The 14,497-nt window shown below is 46.8% G+C and overlaps 1 non-coding gene across 4 annotated transcripts in view, besides 1 other annotated feature; it reads left to right on the top strand.

The window, feature by feature from the left end:
• HTT-AS (HTT antisense RNA) overlaps positions 1 to 14,497 on the top strand; it is a 28,486-nt gene that overhangs the window by 3,092 nt on the left and 10,897 nt on the right. For 2 of the 4 annotated variants that reach the window (NR_185915.1, NR_185914.2), the window contains exon 2: positions 7,833 to 9,099. This is a non-coding gene — a non-coding RNA (HTT antisense RNA). Of the gene's footprint in view, positions 1 to 1,359; positions 1,556 to 7,832; positions 9,100 to 14,497 lie in introns of all 4 variants that reach the window. The other 2 variants (NR_045414.2, NR_185916.1) reach the window with 2 other exon arrangements.
• Positions 12,436 to 12,515: an enhancer, noted in NCBI's record as "active region_21214". NCBI's record gives its function as "activates an Ori minimal core promoter by ATAC-STARR-seq in GM12878 lymphoblastoid cells {active_cell/tissue: GM12878}" and the evidence as "EXISTENCE:reporter gene assay evidence [ECO:0000049][PMID:35858748]".

Below are 14,497 nucleotides of genomic sequence, written 5' to 3'. Positions count from 1 at the left end.
GTGTATGACAGTCCCTGTCCTTCCTTCAGCTAGCTATGGCCATATAACTAAGTAAGTGCTAGCCAGGGAGATGCAAGCAGAAGTAATGAGTAGTACTTCTAGAAAGGAATCACATAAAATGAAGGGAAAGACACACCTTTTTCCTGCTCCCTGGAATGGGATGTGTTGGCTGGGACTTGAGCAGCCATTTTGGATCATCTGCATAAAAGCCACATCCTGGGGTGATGGGAGCTGGAAGGAGGGGGCCCAGATGACTGTGTGCAGTTGTCATTCCAGCCTGGCCTGGAATTCTTTCATCTGTAAGGGAGAAATACACTTCCGTCTGAGCTGCTGTGACTCCAGGTCATTCTGTTATATGCTCCCAAACCAAATTATTCCAACCCATCCAGGGAGGCAATGGATCATCGGGACTTTACATGGCCACAACAAATCACAACTGCTTCAGCCATGGCTGAGAAAACATCATCTGCCTAGAATTGACTATCATCCTGACAGGAAATCTAATGTGAAAGACTTACAGAAATGGACTGTCAAGACACAGGTTTTTAAAGTTCACAGAAAAGTTTGGCATCATCTAAAAAGAGTAAAGATCAATACTGGGCAGTCTGGCATGGTGTCTCTGAGGCCTAAAAATGGGCACAGTCCCTGAACAGCAAAAACATTTCCCGTAATTTATCCTATGCAAACAGTCAGGCATGTGTGATCAATGATTTATTATAGCAACACTTAGGACAAAAGATGGAAAAAAGATAGATGCTGGGCAGAAGGAGCTGAGTTAAAGGAATCCCAACATAGCCACAGGCAGTCATTAGAATCCTGTTCCAGATGAGCACTTGTGACACAGGGAAAGGCTTACAACATGCTAGCCGACTACACACCATGTAGAGCCTGATAACGTCCCCCATTCTAAAGAAAAAACAGCGTACACATACACAGAAGAGAGATGAAGGCGCAGTGGCTCACACCTGTAATCCCAGCACTTTGGGAGGCCGAGGTGGGCTGATCACCTGAGGTCAGGAGTTCAAGTCCGCCTGACCAACAAGATGAAACCCTCTCTCAACTAAAAATACAAAAATTAGCCGGGCATGGTGGCAGGTGCCTGTAATCCCAGCTACTCAAGAGGCTGAGGCAGGAGAATCGCTTGAACCCAGGAGGCGGAGGTTGCAGTGAGCTGAGATCGAGCCACTGCACTCCAGCCTGGGTGACAGAGCAAGACTCTGTCTCAAAAAAAAAAAAAAGAGCGAGAGAGAAATAAGGTTCCTAGTCACCAAGTCATAGCAGTGACTCTCTCTGGGCAGGGGAATTGAGGGCGGTTTATATCTTAATCTTTGTGCTTTTCCATATTTTTCAAATTTTCAGCAATGAACATGAACTATTCAGGGGAAGATTGTTAAATGAAAGAATCTCACTGGGCGGGGAGCTAAGCATGACACCTGGCCACCTGCCTGTGCCTGTCCTGCCGAGAAGAGAGAAGAGGCCTTGAAAGCAGCCAGAGGGGGTGCACACCAGCCTGGGCAGGGGGCAGTAAGCGGGAGCAGCCCCGACCCGAGACCAGGTGGGATGCACGCGGGGTGGGGCTGGAAAAGAAGGAAACCCTGACGCAGACCCCAGGGGGAAATGAGGAGCAGTCGAGCAACTGGAGAGCAGAGGAGGCTCTTTGGTGGCCTCCAGCCCCACCCCTGAGAGGGCTGAGAGAGGAGCAGGTGTGAGGGCAAAACAGGCAGGAACCTTCCAGAGAAGAAAGCCAGGAGCTGGTAAAGAGCACGGGCCCAGCTGCAGACAGAAACCTTTCCCGTCTCATAGGATGGCTGAGGCGCAGGACAGCGGCGGGGGCGCGTCCTCCTTCATCTGTCCTGTTTCCTTAGGTTCTAGGTGCACCGCTGGTAAGGAGCTTCTTATGTGGGGTCTTTGACAACCCTCGTTTTTAAACTAGAGCATTTCCTTCATTAATATTAACTGTAATCGTTGATATACGTGAGGTCAGTCTTTCTGTATATCCTACCAGCTCTGTTACCTGGTTTTTGGTTAAGTCTGATTTTATTTTTGAACCTCTGTTAGTTTGAAAGTGATCACTGTTGGCCGGGCGCGATGGCTCACACCTGTAATCCCAGCACTTTGAGAGGCAGAGGTAGGCAGATCGCCTGAGGTCAGGAGTTCAAGACCAGCCTGGCCAACATGGTGAAACCCCATCTCTACTAAATATTTAAAAAAAAAAAAAAATTAGCCAGGTGTGGTGGCAGGTGCCTGTGATCCCACCTACTCTGGAGGCCTAGGTGGGAGGATGGCCTGAACCCAAGAGGAGGAGGTTGCAGTGAGCCAAGATCACACCACAACACTCCAGCCTGGGTGACAAAGTGAGACTCCATCTCAAAAAAAAAAAAACATACACCGTTGTCTCCTCTTTTCATGGTCACCCTAGAAATTACAACATTCATCCTCCAGGTATCAAAATCTAACGTAAATCTATTCTCTTCTTGATTATGCAGGGAGCTTACAACATTTAAATGCTATTTTTGGTTTCTCCCAATTTGGAGGGTATTATTGCCATGTGTTTTAATTCCATATAAACACACACATAGGCCAGATGCAGTGGCTCGCGCCTGTAATCCTAGCACTTTGGGAGGCCCAGGCAGGTGGATCACCTGAGGTCAGGTGTTCAAGACCAGCCTGGCCAACATGGAGAAATCCCATCTCTAGTAAAAATACAAAAATTAGCCAGGCATTGTGCCAGGCACCTGTAATCTCAGCTACTCAGGAGGCTGAGGCAAGAGAATCATTTGAGCCCAAGGGGCAGAGGTTGCAGTGAGCCGAGACCGTGCCATTTCACTGTAGCCTGGGCGACAGAGTGAGAATCCATCTTGACAAAAAAAAAAAAAAAAGCTACACACACATATATGTTACAAAAGATAGAGACACAACAGTTGTAGAGCAGTCAGCTTTTGTTTAAATTGGCCCCCGAATTTTCCATTTTTATCACTCTCCATTTCTTTCCTGAATCTCTGATCTTCCTCTGGGGTCATTTTCTTCTGCCTGGAAAGCATCCTTTAGAATTCCTTGGACAGTGGGTCTTCTATTGCGGAAATCTTTCCAGTTCAATCAGGAAGTGTTTTTATTTTGCCTTCCTTCTTCACGGATTTTGGTGGGTATCGAATCAAAGGCGGCAGTTGCTTCCTTTCAGGAGATTGAAGCTTCGTCACCCTTTTTTTTTTTTTTTTTTTTTTTTTTTTGAGACAGAGTCTTGCTCTGTCACCCAGGCTGGAGTGCAGTGGCACAATCTCGGCTCACTGCAAGCTCCGCCTCCCGGGTTCACGCCATTCTCCTGCCTCAGCCTCCCGAGTAGCTGGGACTACAGGCACCCACCACCATGCCCGACTAATTTTTTTGTATTTTTAGTAGAGACGGGGTTTCACCATGTTAGCCAGGATGGTCTTGGTCTCCTGACCTCGTGATCCACCCGCCTCGGCCTCCCAAAGTGCTGGGATTACAGGCCTGAGCCACCACACCTGGCCTGTCTTCCACTTTTCATTCTTGCTGTTGAGACATCAGCTGTCAATTTCATGGCTGCTGCTTTGAAACTAATATGCCATTTTTTAAATCTGGCTGCTTTTAAGATTTTCTCTGTCTTTGGTTTTCTGTAGTTTTGCAGTGATACGTCTGGGGGTGTAAGGAGAGACAAGTCTGCTTGTTGGCCAGATGGCCCTCGAGGTCCCCTTTGGTAACCTAGCAACAGGCTGGCTCAGTAGGAAAGCTCAAAGCCTTACCTATACCAGCTCCAGAAGTTCTGGAACGCAGATCCCCCTCGGTGAAAGATTTCTAAGGTCAGGATGTTCTTTTCACCAGCAAAGACATTCCCCACAGCCTGAAATCTCCCATTGCTATGCGATTGGCTAGGTGCTCTCGGTTCCCTTCCAATTTCCCTACAAATACCCAGAATGACAAGAAGCCAGATCCCTCTCCTAGTGAACTCCCTAAGGTGTGACCAGCTGTCCCTGGCCCTGGGATGATGAGAACTTGGGAGAGAAGTGCCTCCTTCTGATAACCCTCTGCCTCTGAGTGTCCCCATTAAATGCATCTTATGCCTGTCCTGTGTATTGTTGATGGTGTTTGTCATTGTCTGGACTTGCTTTCACAGTATGGATTTCTTTTTTTCTCCTTGGAATTCACTGGGCTTTGAATTTGTGAACTGATGGCTTTCATCAGTTTCGAAGCCTCTCAGTCACCGTCCTTGAAACACGGCTTCTGTTCTTCTCCTTCTCTCTCTCCCTGGTACTCCAAATAAATGTATATTAGATCCTCTCACCATATCCTTTCTTCTGCATTTTCCATTCCTTGGCCTCTCAGTGCCTTATTCTGGGTAGTGTCATCTGACTTACTTCCTAGTTCTCTCTGGCTATTTCTATTCTGCTGTTAAACCCTTGCTTTACCATTAAGTTCTGGAATTCTGCAGTTTTCGGGACCGTAATTTATACTGACTCTAAAGTATGCTGTTGTCACATTTTATAGTTTCTGATTTCCTGCCAACACTTTCAAGTTTTGCAAATTTCCTCTTTGAACATGGGAAACATAGTTGTTTAAGTGTCTGTATTTCATATCTCCATTATCTAGACACTAGATAGATTCTAGGCCTCTGAGGGTATGTTTCTCATGCCTGAAGTTTCTGCTAATTCCCATCCATCAGGCCTCATATCACGTTCCTGGTAATTTGTGTTTGTGTGCTGGACATTGTATTTGAAATTTATTAGAGAGTCATTTGAAGCTTAAGGTATTATCTTCTTCCGGAGAGGATTTTTGTTTGCAATGCCAGGCTCCTGGGACACTAGAAGTCCTAGGCCATCTTAATCCAAGTTCCAGTTTTGAGGAACTGGATGTGGTTGATATGAAGGGATTGGTATGGTCCCAGAGGACCATCCATATTTCAGAGCTGGTTTACTTCCAAGTCATCCTTCTTCTTGGGTGGGGTGGACCCCAAAGTGGACCCCAAAGTGGAAAGGAATTGCCTGGGACCCTAAACTTGGCATGCGCTAGATTTCATTTTTAGTCCCCTATGCTCAAGAGGCTTAGCTCAGACGGGGCACGGTGGGTCACGCCTATAATCCCAGCACTTTGGGAGGCCGAGGTGGACAGATCATGACGTCAAGAGATCGAGACCATCCTGGCCAACATGGTGAAACCCCGTCTCTACTAAAATTACAAAAATCAGCTGGGTGTAGTGGCGGGAGCCTGTAATCCCAGCTACTCGGGAGGCTGAGGCAGGAGAATCGCTTGAACCAGGGAGGTGGAGGTTGCAGTGAGCTGAGATCGCACCATTGCACTCCAGCCTGGCAACAGAGTGAGACGCCACCTCAAAAAAAAAGGAGGCTTAGCTCAGCCTTCCAGATACCTTGTCCAGATCAGCAAATACCCGCAAAGCAGAAGCAGCCCTGGTGTTTGGCCTCTCTCTCTGCGCTCCCACCCTCTTCTGGCTTCCAGCCCCGAAAGCTGCTTACTCTGTTAATGTTTATGTTTGTCTGGATTTATTCATTATGTTCATTAGGATGATAGAAACGGATTCTATCGTCCGTCATCAATGTACATGGAAGTTCCTCCTGAAAATAAAGATGGTCCCAAACTTAGGCTGGTTCAACTAAAATTTTTTGACTTGATGATGGTGCAAAAGCAGTACACATTCAATGGAAACCACACTTCAAATTTTCAACTTTGATCTTTCCCCAGGCTAGTGATGTGCTACGTAATACTGTCTTGTGAAGCTGGGAAGCTCCCAGGCAGCCACGCAGTCACAAGGGCAAACAGCAGATGCTCTGCAGTAGACTGTGCTGCTGTGTGATTTTGCCAATTGTAGGCTGACGTCAGTGTCTGAGCATAGCTAAGGCAGGCTGGGCTCAGCTATGATGTTTGGTAGGTTAGGTGTATTAAGGGCATTTTTTACTTATATTTTCAACTTATTATGGATTTATCTAGAGGTAACCCCATAGTAAGTCAATAAGCATCAGTATTAAGGATAATGTTGAAAGTAGTTGGGCTGGCGTGGTGGCTCACACCGGTAATCCCAGTACGTGAGGTTGGGAGTTCAAGACCAGCCTGACCAACATGGTGAAACCCCATCTCTACTAAAATACAAAAAAAAATTAGCCGGGCATGGTGGTGCGCGCCTGTAGTCCCAGCTACTCGGGAGGCTGAGGCAGGAGAATCGCTTGAACCTGGGAGGCGGGGGGCGTGCAGTGAGCCAACATTGCACCACTGCACTCCAGCCTGGCAACAGAGCAAGACTCCGTCTCAAAAAAAAAAAAGAAGAAAGAAACTAGCTATCCTCTTATTCCTAATTTTAACATTATTCCCTCCAGCGTGTGCCCTTATCGGGTAAAATGATGCCTTCTGGGCTGATAAATATATTTTATCATGCTAAAGAAGGAGTAACTAATTTATTTTATTGACCACCTAAAAAGTAGGTGTTGAATTTGGTCAAATGCCTTTACAGCATCTATGAAAATAATCTATTTTTTCTTTGGGTATATTCACATGATCTATTATATTGTGTTACTGAATTTCCTTGTATTGAACCATCCATGCATTATTGAAATAAACCCCACTATGTTATGATGTGACATTTTTATGTATTGTTGGGTTCTGTCTGGTAATACTTTATTAAGGGTTTTGTATTCATAAAAGAGATTGGTATGAAGTTTTGTATAAGGTCTTTATAAGATTTTGGTATCAATTTATACTTGCTTTATAAAAAGAATTGGGAAGTTTTGTTTTTCTAGAGTCTGGAATATTTCAAGCCCATTCAAAGTTTTATTTGCTCTCTAAGGTGTGCTAACATTCCCATGTCAGATTGTTTGAGCCTGGTGTTTTTTTGAAGGGTAGCACTTTGACAACTTTACTTCTTCTCTTGAAAATATCCTATTTAGGCTTCTATTTTACTTGTGGTTAGTTTTGATAAATTATGTTTTCCTAGAAATGCATTTCATCCAAGTTTTATGTTTATGTTCATAAATTTCTGCAAAGTATTCATTATCTTTCTCTCTTTACATGATTTTTCTCCCCTTGAAATTAATTTTTGTGTATTTTTAGTTTCTTAATTAGGTTAGATTTTTATTTATTTGGTTAGTTAGTTGATTCTTTTAAGAACAATGTCTTTTGGCCAGGCACGGTGGCTCATGCCTGTAATCCCAGCACTTTGGGAGGCTGAGGCAGGCGGATCACAAGGTAAGGAGTTTGAGGCCAGCCTGGTTAATATGGTGAAACCCCGTCTCTGCTAAAAATACAAAAATTAGCCAGATGTGGTGGCACACACCTGTAGTCCCAACTGCTCAGGAGGCTGAGGCAGGAGAATCACTTGAACCTGGGAGGCAGAGCTTGTAGTGAGCTGAGATTGCACCATTGCACTCCAGCCTGGGCAACAGAGTGAGGCTCCATCTCAAAAAAAAAAAAAAAAACTTTATTATTTGTGTTACAGCTTTCCTGTGTTATAGCCAGCACTTTCTGCTTCTAACTCTGGCTTGATCTTTCTGGTGATTCACTCCTATCCAGGAGCCACCAAGAGTCACCTCATTAGAACAAAAGATGCTCACCCAGGAAGTTCTCAGGATTTTAGGAGCTCTGTGGCAGGAACTGGGTGCAGACCAATATATATTTCTTACTATTTCATACCACCCACAACCTTCACCACCATCCCCTCCATAAAATCATCTTTTATTGGCCAGCATGGGGGCTCATGTCTATAATCCCAGCGCTTGGGGAGGCTGAGGTGGGAAGATTGCTTGAGGCCAAGAGTTCATGACCAGCCTGGGCAACACAGCAAAGGCTGGCATGTCTCTAATTCTTTCTTGCAGCAGCCCCTCTCTTCACCTCCAAGCCGGAGCGTGGCCTCATCCCTCCCAGGTGACTCTCTTCCCAGAAATGGTGCTGTCTCAAGAAGCCCCCTCTCTCCAAGCATCTGCCAGGCCGTTTGAGCTGCCAGGAGTCTTTGTCCTGCCCCACCAGCTCTGTCTCATCTAGATGGGGCCTTCTGTCCAGTGCTACTGAACAGAATGTTCTGCATGCCTGGCCAGTGCAGAGACCTCCTTGCACCCCTGCTCCAAGGCTGGCTCTGCCACTGACAGATAGACTGACATTTGCACTGTTCTGAGCCCCTGGGGGTGCAGTATGCAGAGCTAGGCCATCTCTGTCGTCCTACAAGAACCAGGCAGCCCTGAGCAAGGCTTTTAACATGCAAGGTGTACTCCACTAGTCTTAAGATATCTTGAGCCACTGTCTTGCTGCTCCCAACTCCCAAGCCACGCTGACTTTCTTTCCCTCGGGACTGAAACACCTCTGCTGATCCCTGATCCATATCCCTCCCCATGAAAGAAATATAATACATAAAAGAGAGCCCTCTCCACTGAGCACCTCCCTTCCTTTGTAGCACTTACTTCAACTGACCCTTACAGGGATCGTGTAACTAGACTATGAATGTCATGAAGGCTACGTCGTGTCTCCGACCCCCTACTAAAGGCTCCAACCCCAGGGAGGACCCCTCCCCTGGCCTGGGGAGGAGGATCAGGAAGATCTCTTTAGTAAAAGGTCCGGTTGGACTGGGACATAGGTCTTTCCTGAGCAAGAACTCTAAAGCCCACTTGTTTCCTTACTAGAAGATGAAGGTTAGAAATGTTCTTTCTTATTTAAAACCATGGCTTGCAATGCTGCTTGGCCCTCAAGTCAAGCAGAAGCACAGCCCACATACCACACAACACAGGATTTCCTCACGGCTCATCTTCCAAGTGAGAAGTGAAAGGAATGTCGTGGGAAACCGCAAGAGTCTGTTCTAATGATAAAGCAGAGGTCCAGAGAACCGCACTTACCCTCAGCAGTGCACAGTGGTGATGAACAACACGCCAAGCAGAAGAGAAAGGGGCCAGGACCTTGGACGGGGGCTGAATTCAGAATCAGCGCACAGGAGAAGTGAAGTTTGAGACTTCGAGAATGAGCCGAAGGGAGACCTTTCTCACTGTCAAGGCGGTGAAGCACAGGCCGCAGAGGGGAGGTGTTTGACCTGGGGGCGCTCATCACATGCTGTGCCTAGAATCGAAGTCCGGGCTCACACCAGACCTCCAAGGCCAGGTGAGTACTCCAGGGGAAGGGAGGGTGCAGGGGATGAGAACAGGGAAAACCATGAGGTTTTGGAGAGGGAACTTTGAATTAGCAATTTATAAAAATGTAGACTAGGCCGGGCATGCTGGCTCATGCCTGTAATCCCAGCATTTCGGGAGGCTGAGGCGGGAGGACCATTTGAGCTCAGGGGTTTTAGACCAGCCTGGACACATAGTGAGACCCTATTCCTACAAAAAAAATAAAACATTAGCCACGTGTGGTGGCATGCACTTGTGGTCCCAGCTACTTGGGAGGCTGAGGTATGTGAAAGGAACATACCTTGAGCCCCCAAATCACTGAAGCTAAAGGGGAAGTTCAAGCTAGGAACTGCTCCCATTCCATTCAAAGTCATCCTTCTGCTCACTGAGATAGATGCATATTCTCTCTCTCTTTTTTTTTTTTTTTTTTTTTTTTTTTAATTTGAGATAGAGTCTTGCCCTGTCGTCCGGGCTGGAGTGCAGTGGTGTGATCTCGGCTCACTGCAAGCTCCGCCTCCCCGGTTCACGCCATTCTCCTGCCTCAGCCTGCCGAGTAGCTGGGACTACAGGTGCTCGCCACCACACCCAGCTAGTTTTTTGTATTTTTTAGTAGAGATGGGGTTTCATCATGTTAGCCAGGATGGTCTCAATCTCCTGACTTTGTGACCTGCCCGCCTCGGCTTCCCAAAGTGCTGGGATTACAGGCGTGAGCCACTTTGCCCAGGCCTTTTTTTTTTTTTTCTGAGATGGAGTTTCACTCTTGTTGCCCAGGCTGGAGTGCAATGGCACCATCTCAGCTCACTGCAACCTCTTCCTTCTGGGTTCAAGCTATTCTCCTGCCTCAGCCTCCCGAGTAGCTGGGATTACAGGCGCCCGCCACCACGCCCAGCTAATTTTTTGTATTTTTAGTAGAGACAGGGTTTCACCATGTTGGCCGGGCTGCTCTCAAACTCCTGACCTCAGGTGATCCACCCACCTCCGCCTCCCAAAGTGCTGGCATTACAGGCATGAGCCACTGCGCCCAGTCAATAGACGCATATTCTGATTGCCTCCTTTGGAAAGGCTTATCGGAGATTCAAAAGAATGCAACCATTTGTCTACCTGTGACCTAGAAGCTCTCTCCCTGCCTCAAGTTGTCCCCGCCTTTCTGGACGGAACCAATGTACTTCTTACATATATGAATTGACGTCTCATGTCTCCCTAAAATGTATAAAACCAAGCTGTGCCCCGACCATCTTGGGAACATGTCATCAGGATTTCCTGAGGCTGTGTCACTGAAGTGGCATAATACCCAAGGTTCTGGGGTAATACCCAAGGTTCATTGCCTCATGCCAAGGAAATCAAGAACATAGATACACACGGAGTGGGGTTAAGAGTGGAGCTTTAATAGGTGAAAGAAAGAGAAAAATGAATAGCTGTCTCCTATAGAGAGAGAGGGGTGCCCCAGTGGGTCTTCCAGCCTGCGGCAGAATGGACAGGGTTTTATAGACAGGCTTGAGGAGGTGGTGTCTAATTTACACAGGGCCCAAAGATTGGTTGGACCAGGCATAATGTTTACATAGCATGCAAAGAAGCTGCCCACCCTACCCTCACCTTTTATTATGCAAATTGGTCTCTACTCGGGGGACACTATGTTGCCTGCTCCTTACTGTGCACATGGTTGACAAGGAAAGGGAAGATGGAGCCGCCATGTTGGATCTGCCTGGCCCCAGGTAGCCTTTTCTTATTGGCACAGCTGCCAGCATTCACCTGTGCAAGCTTCCAGCTTGCTTGTGTATGTCTGCAGCTCGATTTTACAGGCTGCTCTTTGTTAGAAAAGAAAATGCTTGGGGGCTGCTTTTCATTGAAAAGAAAACCTTACCGAGGACTTTCTTACCCTCAGTATCTGCCTAAATAATTTCTTTTTAACTCGTATATCATCACAGGTGTGCACCCTCAACCTTGGCAAAATAAACTTTCTAAATTAAATGAGACCTTTCTCAAATTTTGGGGTTTCAGAGGTGGAAGGATCACTTGAGCCCAGGAGTATGAGGAGCTATAATCATGCCACCAAACTCTAGCCTGGGCAACAAAATGAGATCCTGTTTCTAAAGATGCTTTAAAATGTGTAAATGTAGTAGACTCATGATTCAGGAAAAACCCAAGAAAAGTGTGAGGAAAGATTGAAGAGACACCAACCGAGATTAGTAAGGAAATGTAGAAATGAGGACTTCTTAAAATTGCTATGACCTCCTATCACTTTTCTGAAGAGTGACTTGGCAATGTCTTTCAAAAGATTTAACTGTGCCAACCATTTCATCACACTTAGCATGTACGCACAGGGCATTACTGTAGGGAAGTATTAAATAACCATCGAAAGACCCAGGAACACAGCTACTCAGGAGACCGACGCAGGAGAATCACTGGAACCCAGGAGACAGAGGTTGCAGTGAGCTGAGATCACGCCACTGAACTCCAGCCTGGGTGACAGAATGAATGAGACTCCGTCTCAAAAAAAAAAACAAAAAACACAGGGACAAAGATGTTAAAGCAACATTAATATCAAGAAGATGAGGCCAGGCGCAGTGGCTCAGGCCTGTAATCCCAGCATTTTGGGAGGCCAAGGCAGGTGGACCACCTGAGGTCAGGAGTTTGAGACCAGCCTGACCAACATGGTGAAACCCCATCTCTACTAAAAATACAAAAATTAGCTGGGTGTGGTGGTGCATGCACCTGTAATCCCAGCTACTCAGGAGGCTGAGGAGGGAGGTGGAGGTTGCAGTGGGCCGGGATCAGGCCACTGCACTCCAGCCTGGGTGACGGAGCGAGACTCTGTCTCAAAAAAAGAAAAAAAAAATGAAACAACCTCAATGTCCAAAAATAGAAAATTGGTAGAAACATTAATACTTCCAAATATTGGAATACTGAAAAGCCATTTAAAATGACTTATTTATGAGGAAGTGGAGAAATTGGAACCTTGGTGCACCATTGGTATGTTAAAAACTTCCAACAAATTGAATTGAACAGAGTTTAGCTGATCAAGGAAAAAAAAAACAATTCACAAATGGTGCAGGTCCCAGAATCACAGCAGATTCAGGGAGACTCTAGGGATGCTGTGTGGTCAAAGCAAATTTATGGACAGAAAAGGGAAAGTGGCCACAGAAAGCAGAAGTGAGGCACGTTAACAGCCAGATGAATTCGCCTTCTCCGAACACAGTTTGAACAGTTTGCGGCCTGTGAGTGGTTGAAGTCTGGCTGCAGGAACTGGCTGAGACACAGCTGTTGTTACAGAAGCCTACTGCTAAGTTAGGTTTTCAGTCTGCCTACCTACTATGCTAGGTTACGATTCATCTGCAAGGACGCAAGGATGGCAGTACAGAAGCTTTCTCGGGCCAGTTTTCAGTTTAACAAGTGGAAATGTAAAATGAGCTGGGTGGGGTAGCTCATGCTTGTAATCCCAACACTTTGGGAGGCCAACGCGGCTGTATTGCTTAAGCCCAGGAGTTTGAGATCAGCCTGGGCAACATGGGGAAACCCCATCTCTACTAAAAACACAAAAATTAGCCCAGTATGATGGTGGGTGCCTGTAGTCCCAGCTACTCGGGAGGCTGAGGCAAGAGAATCGCTGGAACCTCGGAGGTGGAGATTGCAGTGAGCCGAGATCATACCACAGCACTCCAGCCTGGGTGACAGAGCAAGACCCCATTTAAAAGGAAAAAAAAAAAAGAAATGTAAAATGATGCAGCTAATATGTCAGAGGCGTTGGAACCAGAACAACTTCATCTTGAATAGGGGCGGGGTAAAATGAGGCTGACACCTGCTGGGCCGCGTTCCCAGGAGGTTAGGCATTCATAGTCACAGGATGAGGTAGGAGGCTGACACAAGATACAGGTCACAAAGACCTTACTGATAAAACAGGTTGCAGTAAAGAAGCTGGCCAAAGCCCACCAAAACCAAGATGGCAATGAAAGGGATCTCTGGTTGTTCTCACAGCTCATTATAAGCTAATTATAATGCATTAACATGCTAAAAGGCACTCCCACCAGCCCCATGACAGTTTACTGATGCCATGGCAACATATAGAAGTTACCCTATATGTTCTATTTTTTTTTTTTCTTTTGAGACAGAGTTTCATTCTTGTTGTGCAGGCTGGAGTGCAATGGCGCAATCTCGGCTCACCACAACCTCGGCTTCCCGGGTTCAAGCGATTCTCCTGCCTCAGCCTCCCGAGTAGCTGGGAGTACAGGCACGCGCCACCACGCCCAGCTAATTTTTTATTTTTAGTAGAGATGGGGTTTCTCCATGTTGGTCAAGCTGGTCTCAAACTCCTGACCTCAGGTCATCTGCCCGCCTTGGCCTCCCAAAGTGCTGGGATTACAGGCGTGAGCCACCATGCCTGGCCTAGAAGTTACCCTATATGTTCTAAAAAGGGGAGAAACCCTCAGTTCTGGGAATTGCCCACCCCTTTCACGGAAAACTCATGAATAATCCACCTCTTGTTTAGCATATAATCAAGAAATAATCAGCAGGGCGTGGTGGCTCACGCCTGTAATCCCAGCACTTTGGGAGGCTGAGGCGGGCGGATCACAAGGTCAGGAGATTGAGACCATCCTGGCTAACATGGTGAAACCCCGTCTCTACTAAAAATACAAAAAATTACAGGCGGGCGCCTATAGTCCCAGCTACTCAGGAGGCTGAGGCAGAAGAATGGCATGAACCCGGGAGGCGGAGCTTGCAGTGAGCCGAGATCGCCACTGCACTCCAGCCTGGGCAACAAAGGGAGACTCTGTCTCAAAAATAAATAAATAAATAAAAAGAAATAACCATAAAAATAGCCAACCAGCGGCCATCGGGGCTGCTCTGCCCATGGAGTAGCCATTCTCTATTCCTTGGCTTTCTTAGTAAACTTACTTTCATTTTATTCTGTGGACTCGTCTGAATTCTTTCTTGAGCAAGATCCAAGAACCCTCTCTTGGGGTCAGCATTGGGACCCCTTTCCAGTAACATATGTACAATGGAATAGTTTTGGCCTTAAATAGGAGGGAAATTCTGACACACACTACAACATGGATGAACCTTGAGGTCATTATGCTAAGTGAAAAAGCCAGTCACAGGGTGGGGTGCAGTGGCTCACGCCTGTAATCCCAGCACTTTGGGAGGCCGAGGCGGGCAGATCACGAGGTCAGGAGATGAAGACCATCCTGGCCAACACGGTGAAACCCCGTCTCTACTAAAGATACAAAAAATTAGCTGGGCTTGGTGGCAGGCGCCTGTAGTCCCAGCTACTCGGGAGGCTGAGACAGGAGTATTGCTTGAACCCGGGAGGCAGAGGTTGCAGTGAGCCGAGATTGTGCCACTGCACTCCAGCCTGGGCGACAGAGCGAGACTCTGCCTCAAAAAAAAAAGAAAAA

This window comes from Homo sapiens, chromosome 4 (genome assembly GCF_000001405.40).
Source record: "Homo sapiens chromosome 4, GRCh38.p14 Primary Assembly".
Taxonomy (NCBI): domain Eukaryota; kingdom Metazoa; phylum Chordata; class Mammalia; order Primates; family Hominidae; genus Homo; species Homo sapiens.
The sequence above is the reverse complement of the archived record's forward strand: the minus strand, read 5'-3'. Positions and strand labels throughout refer to the sequence as shown.